The 16,188-nt window shown below is 47.3% G+C and overlaps 1 long non-coding RNA gene across 1 annotated transcript in view; it reads right to left on the bottom strand.

The window, feature by feature from the left end:
* The window catches only part of LINC01163 (long intergenic non-protein coding RNA 1163), a 31,777-nt gene that overhangs the window by 13,614 nt on the left and 1,975 nt on the right, over positions 1 to 16,188 (bottom strand). The gene's annotated exons all lie outside the window — the stretch shown is intronic.

The raw sequence follows: 16,188 nt of genomic DNA, 5'->3' as shown, positions 1-16,188 counted from the left end.
CCACAGAAGCTTTCAAAAAGAGATGATATTGGACCTGAGGTTGTGAAGAATGAATAAGAGTTCTTCAGGCTGAGAAGAGATGGAAGGGCATTCCAGGCAGGGAGAACAGCAGATGCCAAATCACAGAGGTGGGATAAGCCCACACCGTCTTGGAATGACCAAGTGGTTCAGTGTGGCCAGAGCATGGGGATGTGGTCAGGAGGAGCAGAGATAAAACTGGAGGAGGATATTGGGACTGGGCTGTTAAATCCTTATAGGCCACAGTGAGGACCTTGTCCTTTCCTGCAGGTAGTGGTGTGCAGGGCATCAGGGTGGCACTGGCACTTAAGGTGGGAGGTGGGTTGGGAGAGACTGTGGGCAGGGATACTAACAGAAGCCCACTGCAATCATTTATTATCCCACAGTTTCTGTGGGTTAGGAGTCCAGGCATAGCCCAGCTGGGTGTACTGCTTAGGGTCTCACCAGGCTGCAAATGAAGTGTCAACTGGAATGGAGGTCTCATCTCAGGGCTTCACTGGAAGGACTCACGTGCCCATGCTGGTGGTTGTTGGCAGGATTTGGCTCCTCACAGCTGTAAACAGCTTTGGCTTTTCTGCTGGCTGCTGCCTGGGGGCCAGCCTCAGCTTTAACAGGCTGAGGCAGAGTTCCTGTCCATATGATGTCCCTACTTGCTTCCTCAGAGCCAGCAGGGAGGGAGAGACCCAGCAAGACTGGCACTATAGTCTTACATCACATAGTCATATAATAGCATACATCCCGTCACCTACCCTGTGTTCTATTGTTTAGAAGCAAGTCACAGTCCCCACTACTATTTAGAATCAAGTCACAGAGGGCCACCAAGGAGCACAGGGCCACCTAAAAATCTGCCCTCCAAGGAAGACAATGCTCTTCACTAACGTAGAAGGAGGCGAGGGCAGATGAGTTCTGATCTAGATCCATGGAGTGAAGACACCTATGCATCACCACACAGAAACAGGGGTTCAGTTCTCAGCAGCAAGATCAAGGATGGAGAAAAAGATGCAAGAACCAGTGGCCCCTGAGTGGCAGGTGAGCAGGAGGGGCTGGATGGAGCCATCCAGACGAGTGTGTGGTCACAGCCAATGTCAGCAAGAGCAGCTGTGTCTGCCTGACCCCGGGTCCTTTCCAAACACAAATACAAATTGTTTCCTGCCAGGAACCAGGAGGGAGATTAATCAATAATGCTGCTGAAAAAGACCACATATTGCATGATTCCACTGATATGAAATGTCCAGGAAAGGCAAATCTATAGAGGAAGAAAGTAGAGGGTGGCTCCCTGGGGCTGGGATGGGAATGGAGAGGAGCTGCAAATAGGCATGAGGGATCTTTTCAGGTTGATGAGAAGGTCCTAAATTTAGATGATGGTGATAGATACACAACTCTGTGAATTTACTAAAAATCATTGACATGTACTTAAAACAGGCACATTTTATGGTATGCTAATTGCACCTCAATAGAGCTGCCTAAAAAATACTGCTGCCAGATAACACTACAGGCAACAAGAGTCAAAGGTCAGGGGGTCACACAATGGCTGCACAAACAGTGGGGAGCACTTTGGCCACAGTAAGCCCACCCTCCTCCCCAGGAGTCATAAACTCAGGATGGGGCTGATGCAGCTATGTTGGGGGCACTGGGCAAGACCTCCCAGGCCCCACACTCGGAAAGAGCTGCACCAGACCAAGTGTCTCCTGGAGAGCGGCAGGTGTAGCCCTCACCCTTTCACTCATCGAACAGAGCTCCTGAGAACTTGCAGGTCCCAGCCCAGGCCCTGTCCCCAAGGTGCTGATGGGCCAGGGTGGATGCACACACACACAGACTCCCTTACAGGACACAGTTGCCCCAGTGGAAACTCGTCCCAAGCACAGCCAGGGCCTCCGGGAAAGCCAGTAATACCCAGGACCACCCCAGTCCACAGGAGAGTTTGTTTCATTCTTGGTACCTTGGGTTGTTGTGAGCCACAAAACTTCTTGTGTTGAAACCATGGTGGACTCAGGGCCAAACAAAGGTTGAGTCCAGCTATTCCCTAGCCAAATATCCAGGAGTCAGAAGCTCCTGAGCCTCCCTCCCTGCTGTCTTCTTTCTGCCTGATATGGTTTGGCTGTGTCCCCACCCAAAAACTGCCTGATAAGGTCTGGCTGTGTCCTCACCCAAATCTCATCTTAAATTCCCATGTGTTGTGGGAGAAACATGGTAGGAGATAACTGAATCATGGGGGCAAGTCTTTCCCATGTTGTCTCGTCATAGTGAATAAGCCTCATGAGATCTGACAGTTTTATAAGGGAGAGTTTCCCTGCACAAGCTCTCTCTCTTTGCCTGCTGCCATCCATGTAAGACATGACTTGCTCCTCCTTGCCTTCTACCATGACTGTGAGGCCTCCCCAGCCACGTGGAACTGTAAGTCCATTAAACCTCTTTCTTTTGTAAATTGCCCAGTCTCAGGTATGTCTTCATCAGCAGTGTGAAAATGGACTGATACACTGCTTTTGCCTTTGGGGATCAGCACCGTATCCTGATGCTAAAGTTACCCAGGAGAATCAGGTCACCAGGGCTTTGAAATCAGAAATGACTTTCCTCCCAATACTAAGAAAATGTTTGTGACAAGAGGGAAGTAGGCGAAGAATATTAGTGTAGCTCATGGTGATAATAACATCTGATATTCATAGAGCTCTCACTATGTCCCAGCTCCACTTTAAGTGCTCTGCACATATATGCAAGAACTATTGCTGCATTTGCTACTCACACAATCCTAGAAAAAGGGTGTGATCCCATGTTACAGATGAGAAAACCAAAGCTTGGAGCCAAACCCCTCATGACACATCACCCTGGCCCACAAAGCAATTGCCACTCCCGTCTCTCTGCTGCCTGTCCATGACCCCATATGGAAACGCTTCTCCGGTCATCTGTGTAACATCTCCCAGACCTGCAAACATGCCCCGTAAGCACAGAAAGCATTCCAGTGTAAGCTTTCCTACATAGTAAACGTTTTTTAAAGCACTCACCTCAACTGTTTCTATGATTAGATAAAAGTCCAAACAAGTTGCAAGGCAAGCTAAAGGTTATTTTACAGCCACACAACCCAGCTAAGTATTTTAAGTGCAGCCCAGAATTATGAATCCCATCTGTAGAGGGTGGTGGCTTGGGACTGAAGGCAGGTAGATAGAATTACATGCTCTTAGACCTGGAAGGAACCTGGCCCAGCTCATCCAAGGCCCTAATTAGAGAGATGAGAAACCTGCAGCCCCAAGAAAGGTTGTAACCTGCCCAAGGTGAGTCAGGGAGGTGACAGAGAGCAGAGGAGGGCCCCTTGCCCAAGTTCTGGACATGCTGCTCTATGTCTGATTAACTCGTAGTTGAAGGCGGAGCAGTTTCCCAGACACCTGACAAAAGTCGTTTCAAACTAAGAGTTCTATTTAGTCCTTACACAGGACCTGTGTATTTTCTCTCCTGGAATTTGATATCTCGGGAAACCTGCCAAGGACTATTCACCAGGGAAAGTGAGTATGTAAAATGGGAAGAGGAAAATCAGAGCAAGAAGGTACTGGCAGGCTGTCACAGCCTGTATGGTGTCTCACCGTGCACTGGGGACTGGGCCCCACCACGTTTGTGCACCGCCCCGGGCTGCAGTCCACAGTGAACGCACAGCCCAGGCCTGGACCGGAGGGGGTGGCCTTACTGAGGAGCTCCTGTCCGGCCTCACAGATGCAATTTCTCTCCCCGCACATGCCTCTGAGCGTGAGGCCACACCCACCTCTCTGACCTTCCCATTGGCTATTTTTCACATTACTTAATGTTGTTTTAGAAGTAAATTTTCTAAACTCATCAGTCAGTAAACCTATGTCCAGAGTGATATTAACAGCAATTATCATTGTCAAGTGTCCTTAATTTTTTTCTGAAGGATGGCTTAATCTATTACACCATAATGGACCAGGATGGAGGCCACTCATCATTCTGAAGACTACATGACACATGCAAAGTCACAGTAAAATGTGAGATGAGGGCTTCGTTGTGATTCACAGCTTGCTTTCTTCGTTTGTTCCTTTCTTCTTTCTTTCCACACTCACCCTCTGGGTGCCTCATAGGTGCTAGGCACCAGGATGAAAGTAACCTTGACAGCCCCTGCCCCCAAGGAGCTTACCACCAAATTATAACAGACACTTGCTCGATATGCAGATTCCTGGGCTCCTCTCTAGAGATTTGGATTCAGGAATCTGTATTATATGGCACTGCACTCTTGGTGATGTCTTGCGATACACAGACTCTGCTGCAAGAAATTCCTTGACACTGCAGGTGGTGTTGTCCAAGAAGACAGAAAATGAGGGCCAGACAAGCCAAGAGCACCCATCTCTGCCTGCAGCAAGGAGGAGAGGGAGGCTCCAGGAGGAAGCAGTATTTGAGCATCTTTTAGGAAGAGGAAGAGTTTTCTGCATGGGGAAGATGCGAAGTGGGCAAAGGATGGGAGGAAACTGCCCAGAGTGTGGTGGGGAGAACCCACGGGGTCCACAGCTAGAGAGACTAGCCCAGGCCACAAAGGCCAGAACAAGGAAGCAAGAAACCACCCCACAGCCTGGGCTTGCCAGCAACAGACACAAACACCACACTGCGTCCAGGGGCCGAAGGGATCAGCATACTTGTCCCCATTTGGTGTCTTTGGCGAGAAGACGGGGATGACCAGGAAGAGGAGAAGAGAGAACACTTCATTCACAATGGCCCTCCACACGCTGGCTCACTAGCCCCTTCATTTTCCTCCCAGGCTGTCTCTTGCTTTCTTGAGTAAATATGCAGAAAATAGAACCATCATAAAGTCATTTCTTCCACTAGTTTTATTTAACACAGTCCGGCCCCAAACTGAAAACCCAAGGAGACCGTCAATTGAGCCTCAGCACGGAGCCGAGCAGGACACGAATCGGAGTACAGCCAGGGTCCAGACCTTCCCAGGTCCCCCCGAACTTCCCTCATGTTAATTTATTCCACATACCATCTTCTCCCGGTCCGGAGGGAATCCAGCTTCATGGAGGTCCTCTTAGCTGAAGATTTATCAAACCAGAGTATATGCATGGTATGAACATCAGATCCATTATCTAAGCTGTTAGTTTTAGTCGAAATGTAAAGAAGTGATTTAGTATAAAATCCATCACAAAAACATTTATTAAAAAATCTTTTGCTGCTCTTCATCTACAAACATTTACTATCCTGCATACAAATGTCAGCGGTTCAGCCTAATATACTTCCTCATTTATTTACTGTTCATTCCTTCTGGATAAAAGCCAAAAGCAATGTCCCCTGTGGGCTGCAGCACAATGAGGACGAGAGAACCCTTCTCATCACTCTGAGGTCAACCAAGGTCAGCCAAGCCACTTGATTGGGGTGCCGCTTGGTAACAGTTCACCTCTGAAGGTCAGGCCCTCTTTGGTGAATGGAGTCCTCTTCACACAAAGTTTTTACTTTTAGATGGAAGTTAATCGACATATCACCAGGACTTTCTGGAGGAATTAAATAAAATAAATGTAATGAAGATTTGACAGTCAAAGAGACCAAAGTATGCCCAATGCACTTTTGTCCAAATATAGAAGGTGTTAAAAAAAAAAAAATTAACACACTAGTTCCCTGCCTCAGTTCACAGACCCTGAATGATCTCCAGTGATCTCATCTTGTGTTGACCAAATTCTCCAAATGAAGCCAGCTGCCATGGAGTCACAGAATTCTGCAGTGGGGAAGGTTGACTTTGTACGTTGGGCACGACTCCCTCCCTTTAAGAGGAGGAAACCGCTAGCACTCCAGAGAATCTGAGAAGGCTGCCCAGGTCACACAGCTGCTTGGTGACAGCAGCGGCCCTGGAACCTTAGATTAGATGTGTGTCATTCGGCCCTGCTAGAGGGGAGTGAGAGGAGATTCCAACAGCAGAGAGAGCAGCCAAAATAAGCAAACAAATACAAGCCATTGAAACTCAGGGGGAGCTTGGATTTCAGGGCCTCAATTGTGAGCATGGAAAAGCACATTTCACCTCCAAGTAACCCTCATCTGCTTTCTATCTACACCCGTCACATCATCCCTTACAACGGGGGTTATCGATGCCTTCCTTACGGACCTTGTATTCTAAATTGGCAAAGCAAACATTCAGCTGTTAAAAACACTCCAAAGAAGGTTGGATCACTAACAGCCATTTTCCAACCTGAAGGCAGGCCAGGAGGGCCGTCCAGATGCCTAGGCCCTAAGGGGCCATGGCTTCAGTATGAATGCACCCCCAGGGCCAGCTTTGGAAAGGCAAGGATAAAATTAACGTGAATGGCTGTCTCTCTGCATTTAGGGGCTCTCCCTGCTCTCAACTTGAGCAAACTGCCCAGCAAGCAAACCTCACCTTTCACTGGCCTCTCAACAACAGGGAGGTGCCCACACCAGAGTTGTGCCCAAACCCAGTCGTAAATGCCTCTTGTATCCATGTGCAGAGCCACAGGGTCCAAGCCACGTCCCTGACCCAAGAGCTTCGCTGACAGCACCCCCGGACAAGCTGAGGTGGGGGCGCTTGGGCACGGGCTGAAGGCCAGGCTTAGAAGGGAAGAAGGCAAGCGACATATGCCCACGTCTCAGAGGGTATAAACCCAGAACCCACCTACCCCCACCGGCCCTCATGTTTCTACCTTCATTTCTTTCCCCTCATTTCTGATTTTCCTTCTCCTTCTCCACCCTCTTCCTTGCATAATGAAGACAGTGCTGGTGATGACACTGAGAAGAATGGCTATGGTATTGTTACAACCCAGAGTAGGAAAAGCTAAAATTTCTAGAGCACTTCCCTGGGCTCCTTGCTGTGTTCACATATTCCATCCCCGGAAGGACGCTAGGAATCAGATACAGTTGTTAACCACGTTCTTCCTTCTAGCACTTTCCACACCAAACATGTCTGCATACTTGTTGGCTTCCTGGCTGTCAGCCTCCACCACCAGGGCTTTATCTATCTTGTCCGCTGCCGCCTCCCAGCACCCAATACAGTCAACAAATGCTACTGATGGAGAAAATGAACTCTCATTTTGCAGATGGGAAACTGAGACTCTGAAAAGTTGCAGATCCCGGGTCAACCCAAGCAGGAGATGGGGAGTCAGGATAAACTGTGATGAGGTCACACAACTGTCCCTTCCTTTCCTTCTCTTCAGAACCGGCCTCTGTCAGGCAGTTCTCCCTACCCTCTCAAAGCCTGTGCTCACTTTCCTTTGCATCAACACAGCCCATTCCAGCTCTGATCCTGCAGCTGGTTCCCACCCCTCCTGGTTTATTCTGGATGGAAAGATGACTGAGATTTGGTGCTACCCTGGCCCCACCCCTTTTGGCAGGCGTGACCTCAAGCGGCTCCTGTCCAGCCTCCTCTCGGCACCCTCTGGTTCACGCGTTATTCCTAGCATGAAATACATCTGTATCACTTAAAGAAAGCAAGCTCAATTATTTAACTCTACCAAGATTCAGTTCAAATATAAGAGTTACAGTGTACATCTGAGACTTCTGGGAAATTGATTTTTCTGCTTAAGATCATTTCATAGGGTTTAGCATTAAAACCAAATCAGGCGCAAACTGATCTCTTCGTAGATAGTGAGTTTGTTTCCATTTTCTAAAGACCAGCCCAAGCGAGAGTCCTTCTCCCCACCCATGCTTGCTGCACGTATTTTACAATCTTAACAGACTGCGGTGGCCCGCCAAAAGTCATCTTTAAAGCAACCACTCCATCTCCCTCATCACAGAGCTGCTGGGCTGGATGTGCCCAGGGACAACCAGAGAGCGGGGAACAGCATTTAGCACTCAGCTGACCTTCTGTCCACCTTTTCAGAATGCCTGCTGGAGCCAAGAGAGTTTGGGTTTGTTTTTTTTTTTTTTTTTTTTTTTTCTATTTCTCAGCCATTTTCAAGTGGTTTCTTTAATTTCCTCCTGAGAGTTAAGCACTGATTGACCAGGGACTTTAAACTGAAACCTCTCACCAGAAAATACCATTGACGATTCCTGTGATGGAAAAACATACTTGGAGTTCATCTTGATGTTTACAATTAAGTCAGCTGGTCCTGGTTTCTCTAAGGATGCTAATACTTAATGTAAACTGTTTGTTCTTCAGAGGGGAAAGAACCTGTGTAATCACCTGAAGACAAACGGTCTTAACTTTCCAGAAGATGACAGCTTTACAAATGGAAATGATAAATTAAGAGCGTCTGAGAGTCCATCAAGGAAAGCAAAAACAAGGCAGGGGACGTGGAGGACATCGAAACAAGCCAACGAAGTCCACATCTGGTTTTCCCGCAAAATCACCCCTAAGTGATGTTCAACGGGGGAAAGTATATATGTTAAGGTGCAGGCTAAAGGGTTATCATTATTCCAATAAAAAGGGGAACATGAGACGGTGGGGTTGCTTGGCAATGGGCTTTACAGACAGAATTCAACCAGAATCACATCCCTCCATTACTGATGGGGGAAGCTTGGGTGTGGCTCCCAGTCTGGGAGGTTTCAGTCTCTCAGTGAGAACCATGGTAGCCCCAGCTCCTGGGTGGGCACTGAGGGCTCACAAGGGAAATCCCAGTGTCCAGCACATGTTAAGCATCCAAAAAATGGCTGCGATCATTATTTACTGTTGTTACTCTCATGTAAAACGTGCAGCACAGCGGCTGGCATATAGGAAAAAAAAAAAAAGGAACAAAGGTGGTGCCCTGTCCTCAGCCTGTCTTCTCCCATGTGTCAGATGAAATCTAACAGCCTGGCCTTGCCCGGGAAGGCTTTGGATGATGGGCACAGCGTGGAGGCCCTGACCTTGTGGTCAGTATAGATGGGGCTCAAGAACAAAGCCAGGAGGTACAGGAGACATGAAGGTCCCTGAAATCTCCACTGCAGTCACTCATCTGACCCAGGTGATGGGGACGTGCTCGGCGCTGCCCTCTAGAGCAACAACATTCACCGGAACTTTCTGCAATAAGAAAAATACTCTGTGCTGAGCACGTGAATGTGGTTAACTGCCACTGAGGAAATGGAAGTTTAATCTCATTTTAATTAATTAGCTTAATGGGTTGATTGACAATCAATTAATTGATTCCATTTAAATGGCTACATGTGGCTAATTGATACCATACTGGATGTCATAGTTCTAAAACCAGAATGGACTGTTGCCTGGCATGTTGGCAGGTGAGACCAAGCCCAGGGTGGTCAGAGGATACATGAAGGCCCCGGGATGTTTCTGTTCTCTGGTCTCCTGCCACTGGGGAGCAGATCTCCACCTCTGGCCTTGACTCCTGCACGCAGAGGTTGCTGGGGACAGTGGGCGCCCAGCCCCTCCTGCCACATGGCCCAGAGGCAGCCTGGCTCAGCACAGTACCAGATGCTGCCAACCAAAAGGCCTGTCTGGGCCAACACGGGCAAACTGGGAGGAAGGACCTCAGGATGGTCTCCATAAGCCCCAAGAAGGTGGACAAAACTAGGGCCAGCTTCATTCCTGGCCTGCGCAGCTTACCCCCCAACATCCCCACTGTGCTCAAAGAAAGGATATAGCTCCAAGGTTCTGGGCCTCTCTGTGGGCTCAGGTGGCAGGCGAACCAGAGGACCACAGAGACTGCTTCTCCAGGTCCAAAAAACCCTCACGTACAAACACACCATACATAGGCACAGATGCACATGTGCACACACACGTGCACAATACATATATGACATATATGCACACACATGCATTGATGCACATGGATCCCAGGAGAAGGCAAGTCCCTACAGCAGTAGCATAGAGACCAGTACTTATCCTAAGCTTCGACTTCCCCATCTGAAAAATGTAAATTCATTAATAATAATCATCATGCTTACCTAGCTGGGCTATTATGAGCATTAAATAAAATAACAGGATGTGGAAAGCACTGGTGGTTGCTGTGATGGTGTGGAGGACACACGTTGGGAGTGAAGGAGGAGGAAGTCGGGCTATTATGAGCATTAAATAAAATAAGGGGACATGGAAAGCACTGGTGGTTGTTGTGATGGTGTGGAGGACACAACGTTGGGAGAGGAGGAGGAGGAAAGGCGAATCCCAGCTGAGCCCCCTTCGAAGCCCACCCTAAGGGTTCTTCCAGCTTTCCCCCTGGGCCTGTTTGTCCTCTGTATGTTTCCAGCATCTGATATATCACAGGGTTTAATTTAGAGGAAGTTCAGGAAACAACACGAACACTCCTCACAGGGAGGCGGAAGTGGGGAGGAAGGTCACTGGCCATTTGGAGCCCGAAGACCTGAATTTAAGTCTCACGGTGGTAACAGTTTTCACCAAGTGGACACAGCACTCTGATCCAGAGGTTGAGTTTATCGTGGCCACTTCTATACTCAGTCCCTGCAGTCACACCTGGGGAACGATGGGTGAATGATATCCACTCTCATCAACAACTCTCAACAACCCAATCAGGAAAGACCATTATCTCTGCTCCGAAGAGGAAGAAGCAGAGACCCACCCAGGTGGCAGGTGGGCTGGTGTGAGTCCCCCAGGCTTGTCTGAGCTCCAATCCCAGACCTCAAATCATTACACACCCATCTCTACTTTCTAGGGAGATAATCTTGGAAAAATCATTTGTCATCTCTGAGCCTCCATTTCTGATCTGTAATATGGAAAGGAAACTCTATACCTATTTCCTACTATCCTTAAAAAGACTGAATGCAGAAGTAATGTGTGCCTGCTCACCAGCTGTTCCAAGTGTATGGCTGAGCACCACTCAAGTCCAAGGGAAACTTCCAATTCCAGGTGTTTTGTCCAGTCTCCCATTTCCCAGCCAACCAGAAACCAAGCCCCTAGCAGAACTATGACTATTCACCATCTGAAGAGGAAAATTTCCCCTCTGCAGAGAGCATGCCCCTTGTTGACAGGCAGCTCTGAGCACTGCTCACCTGGGCAAAGCCAAAGAGAAGAGCAGGAGCTGAGACCTGCTCTGTGTGCCTCAGGACGGCCCCTATTCCTAACAGCCCAAAGGACATGCACGATTTCCACTGAGTCATTCAATGGGACATCACTGACTGGGACTCAACCCTGTACCTGGCCAGTGCCTGAGGCTCAAACAACCAGAACCTGGCCCTTCCTTCATGGAGCCTCCACTCAAGAAGCTACAGGTAGAAAGCAGGTCCCTGCAGAAAGGGCCCTTCAGCTGAAACTCCTAGAAACCAAAACCTTCAGCTAGGGCATCTTCCCCACCCCAAATTCTGAGACTGGCTACACAGGTCTGCTATGAACTGATGTTTGTGTTTCTACAAAATTCATATGTTGGAATCCAAACCCCCAAAGGTGATGATACTAGGAAGTAGGACCTTTTGGGAAGTGATTAAGTCATGAGGGTGGAGCCCTTGTGAATGGGATTAATGTCCTTATAAAAGAAGGCCCAGAGAGCTAGCTAGTCCCATCCACCATGTGAGGCCACGATGACAAGCCAGGAAGCAGGCCCTCAGCAGGCACTGAAGCTACTGGTGCCTTGAAGTTGGACTCCCAGCTTCCAGAACTGTGAGAAAAAAAATTCTGTTGTTTATAAGCCCCTCAGTTTATGGTACTTTTTTATAGCGGCAAAATGGACTAAGATTAGGTCAAAGCTAAAAAAAAAAAAAGTTGAATTTCAAAGGACAGCAAATCTAGCACAAGTTAAGATCAACAGTGTGATGAAAAACATAGAGAAGGATTTGGAGAAAATGGAATCACCTCCCCCCAGTGGTGCTTGGCAGAAGTCCCTGGCCAGAGCTGAGATGCTCTCACCCTCCCCTGAGGCCACACAGCCCATCCAGGTGCACTGCCCTGATGCTTAGATGGCCCATCCCTTGCTTGTGGCTGACTCTCAGCACTGGGTGAGCTGGCAGCTCTGACCTGCCCAGCATTGCTCCTCCCAGGAGACCCATGTGCTCTGACACATCCTGACCATTTCAGAGCCTACAGGAGGGCAGGTGTTGCCCCGGGTCTTGCAGTCCCTCTGAAGTGTCTTCTCACACAAATTTCCTGTTCCCCTCCTCACTCCCCTGGATCTCTCTTATCACCTGGGCCAATCTTGCTCACCAAAATTCCTCTTAGGGACAACCTCTACATCTACAGATTAAACATACTGCTAAGCTGCTTGGGGCGGACAGGTGAGGCTCCTAAAACAGCAGGTTCCAGTGACAAAGGGGCCTTCCTTACCTTGAGGCCTGGGCAAGGCAGAGGGGTGGTGTTGGGGGCATCTGCAAGGTTTGGAGCAGGGATGGGGCAGAGTGGAACCGCACTGATTGCAAAGAGAGTAACCCAAATTCCCAAGGGAAAGCCACTGAAGAAGGAGGACGGGCAGCTGTATGCATGAGAATGCAGAGAAGAACCCTCAGGATGGGGTGGCAGGAATGACTTTGGGGAATACAAAGTTGTTTCCCATGAGGTGAGCAAAGCAAACTCCTGATGAAATCTTCAGTAATATCCATATCATTTGCCAATGATTGTATGGGAACAGATTATTCTGAAGATCTTGAGATGGTAGCAAATGCCTACAAGGAAAAAACAGGGACAAGTCTACGTATAGGAACCTCACCATGAAGCAACAGCTGACAAATAGGTACTGCTTCAAATAGCTTATTTACTCAATGGTCTGCCTGTTGTGGGTTCCAGTGTGTCTCCCAAAAAGATGTGTCTAAGTTCCAACCCCTAGGATATATAAATATGACCTTATTTGGAAATAGAGTTTCTGCAGAGTAATCAAGTTAAAATGAGGTCATATTGCATTAAGATGGGGCCTAATTCAATAACTGGTGTCCATATAACAAAAGAGAGATTTGAACACAGAGAGAATGCCAAGCAGAGATAGAGGCAGAGATTGCCGTGATGCGGCCACAAGCCAAGGAATGCCGGCCACAACAGAAACAGACAGGCATGGAACAGATTTGCCCCTAGAGCCTTCCTAGAGAGTGCAGCCCTGCAGAAACCTTGATTTCAGACTTTCAACCTCCAGAAATGTGAGACAATAAATTTCTGTTATTCTGAGCCATCTTCGTTTGTGCCAATTTGTTACAACAGCTGCAGGAAGCCAACACACTGCCCCATTAAGCTTTAAACTCAGCCTGGGCTTCTGCCCCCTTCACTTTCACCTTTATAGCATCTGGTACTTCCCTGGTGTAGAGTAGGTGCTCAGTAAATATTTGTAGAATGGATAAGTATGGGTGCATGAGAGAAAGAAAATATGTGTGATTTTATACAAAAACTCTTTGGGGTTAATAGGTGCTTTTGAAGGCTTTGCAGTGTGGAGTCTGTCTCAAAACTTGTCAGCACAGACAGTCCTTAGGAAAGACCTGTGCCCCTCCTCACCAGCTCTACTGCCCTTTCACTCTTCCTGTCCCTCAGTCTCTCCTTCCTCCTTATCTAGTCACAGTCTATCCCAGCAGCTGAGGAGGAAGGTTAGTCCAGATCCCTTTCTGTTCCTTAGTTTAGGATCCAGAATTCAGTGAACCCTTAAACTTATTAGAGTCTTTCCACTAGCTGAAGCCATATAATTTGAACTTGTAACTTAAATCATCCTAACAGATAAGGGATCTTTGCAGCCTAAGATAGGCAGAATTTTAAAAACTATTCCCAGCAGTTCTCACCCCATATAACCCCTCCCCTTTGAGTGTGGGGGGAATTGTGAATACAGTGAGATGTGGAACTGGTGATTATATTACATTATGGGGCAGGGGGATTTTGCAGATGTGATTACAGTTACTAATCAGTTGACCTTAATACAGACAGATTATCTGAGTGAGAATGATCTAATCAGACAAGGCTTTCAAAAGCAGAGAACTTTCTAAGGCTGGCAGCAGAAGAGGAAGTCAGAGAGGCTGCAACTGTGAGTAGGATGGGGGCACCCTTGTTGTCCTGAGGATCAAGGGTCCACATGGCAAGGGATGTTGATGGCATCTAGCAGCTGAGAGCAGCCCCCAGCCAAGAGCCAGCAAGGAAACAGATCTCAGTGCTACAACTGCAGGGAGCTGATGGCTGATGACAACTTGGATGGGCTCAGAAGCAGATTCTTCCCCAGAGCCTCAAGATAAGAAATGAGCCATTCCAGTACCTTGATTTTGGCCTCATGAGACCCCAAGCAGAGGATCCAGCCAAGCCCACTGGACTTGTGACCTACTAAACTGTGAAATAATAAATAGATGTTATTTGAAGCCACTACATTTGTGGTAATTTGTTAAACAACTATACAAAACCAATAGAAAGTCTAATATTATGTAAGAAGATACAAATCTATAAAAAAAAGACATTATTCGCTCACTCCAGCAAGAGCAGCAAGAGAGTTAAGAACAGCTGGAGTGACGTATGCTAAACCCTAAGGCAGAGTAGGCCAAATGCAGCCTGTGGGCCAAATTCAGGCATCGACTGTTCTTGTACAGCCCACCAACTAAGAATGGCTATTACATTTGTAAACGGTTGGAAAAAAATAAAAAAGAAGAATAGTATTTCACAACACATGAAAATTATATGAAATTCAAATTTCAATGCCTATCAATAAAGTTGTATCAGAACACAGCTCACTGATTTGCATATCATCTATAGCTGCTTTCTGGCTCCAACAACAGACTTGAGTAGTTGCAAAGAGTAGCATAGCTTGCAAGTCTAAAAAACTTATTATCTGGCCCTTCGTAAAAAAAGTTTGCCCACCCCTGATCACTAGAACTTTTCAAAGCACCATTGTGGACCCAGATACGCTAGGCAGCAAACAATGGAGGACAGAGCTCTGGGCATTCTCTGGGTGGACAAGCATGGACAGCAAACTGATTCAGGAGACTTCTCATGTCTTCTTTGCCACATACGGTCAGGTTGTGTGTGTAAATAATTTACACACATGCACTGTAACTCCTCTAATGAAACAACAGTAAAAAACTATTTTATGACTTCTAAAAAAATGAACTAACTTTTAGATTAGAAATTATTTTAGAATAAAACCACAGGACTCAATATCTGGCACTCTGTAACTTGTGGTCTCTGTGACAGAGAGATTTGACTCTCCATGCAGAGCTTTTGGCATCATCTGGTGACAGCCCAAAAGTCACTTTGGGCAGAAGCCCCAGGAGGTTGACTGGGAAAGGCCGATGACTGAAGGGGTCTCCTCTGAACTCCAAGGGGCCACAGCACCTCTGGGTCCTGACAGCCATGGACTCCCACCCAAGAAACATCTGGGCAGAAAACAAGCAGTTTAAGAACAGAAGATTAGATTCTCATCAAAGAACACAGTCTCAGCAAAGTCCAGTCCGTCTTTCTTGAAAAGCTTTCTATTTGATCTCTATAATTTGACCATTAATATAGGAATACCAAAATGGAATACTCAGGGGCCAAATCAGGCAGAGAGTTAGGTCAGACGTAATTTTCTTGTGCAATCTGAACAAAAGACATTTTATAACCAAAGCCAAAAAAGGAGAAGAAAAAAAAAATGACATGGGTAGATAGAGAAAAGCACTCATAGACGTGCTCCCTTCATGCGAAATTTCAAAAAGCTTCGTGACAGCTCTGAGAACCTGTCTGGGGATCATTTTATGGAAAAGCAGTCACAATGATATCAATTGGGAAAGCAAGAAGAATGTATGTTCTGTCATTTTTAGTGGGAAAATATCTGCTTGAATTTCCTTGTAGTCACTTTGAAGACCTCTCAACTGAGAAGAGAAATTCACATTCTGACAGGTTCCCCACGATTCCTCCCATCAGTAATAACTTCATCTTCCGTCCTCTACCCAGTGACACACTCAGCACGTGTGAGGGTACCGGGTGTGGAAAGCCTTGGAGCCCTACCTCCCCCATAGCTGGCAGGGCCCCCTTGAGCAAGTCACATCATCTCCTTCCCTGAGCCTCACCATCCTCATCTGCACAATGGGAAGGATGCCCAGCCTTGCCTTTTCCTTCTAGCATGATCAAGAGAGTCTATTGAGACCGAAAAAGCAAAGAGAGCTAAACAAATGGAAGCCATTGTTACATTTGTCACTGAGCTTCACAAAATGATGACCAGAACATGCTGGAAAGCACTTCTGTGTGTGTTTGTGCACAAAGGCACACAGTTTTCTCCTTCATCTAAAAGGAGAATACATTCACATGAAGCAAAGGGTTGGCTGCTCCATGCATAGAGATGAAGCGCATCTTTTAGCCGCCGCCACATACCCCGGCCCTGCAAGGAAAATGTGAAGGGCCTTGAATCCATCCCATTCCGTTTTTCTGCTGTTGCA

This window comes from Homo sapiens, chromosome 10 (genome assembly GCF_000001405.40).
Source record: "Homo sapiens chromosome 10, GRCh38.p14 Primary Assembly".
NCBI lineage: Eukaryota > Metazoa > Chordata > Mammalia > Primates > Hominidae > Homo > Homo sapiens.
Note: the sequence above shows the minus strand (reverse complement) of the source record. Positions and strands in the feature narration are given on the sequence as shown.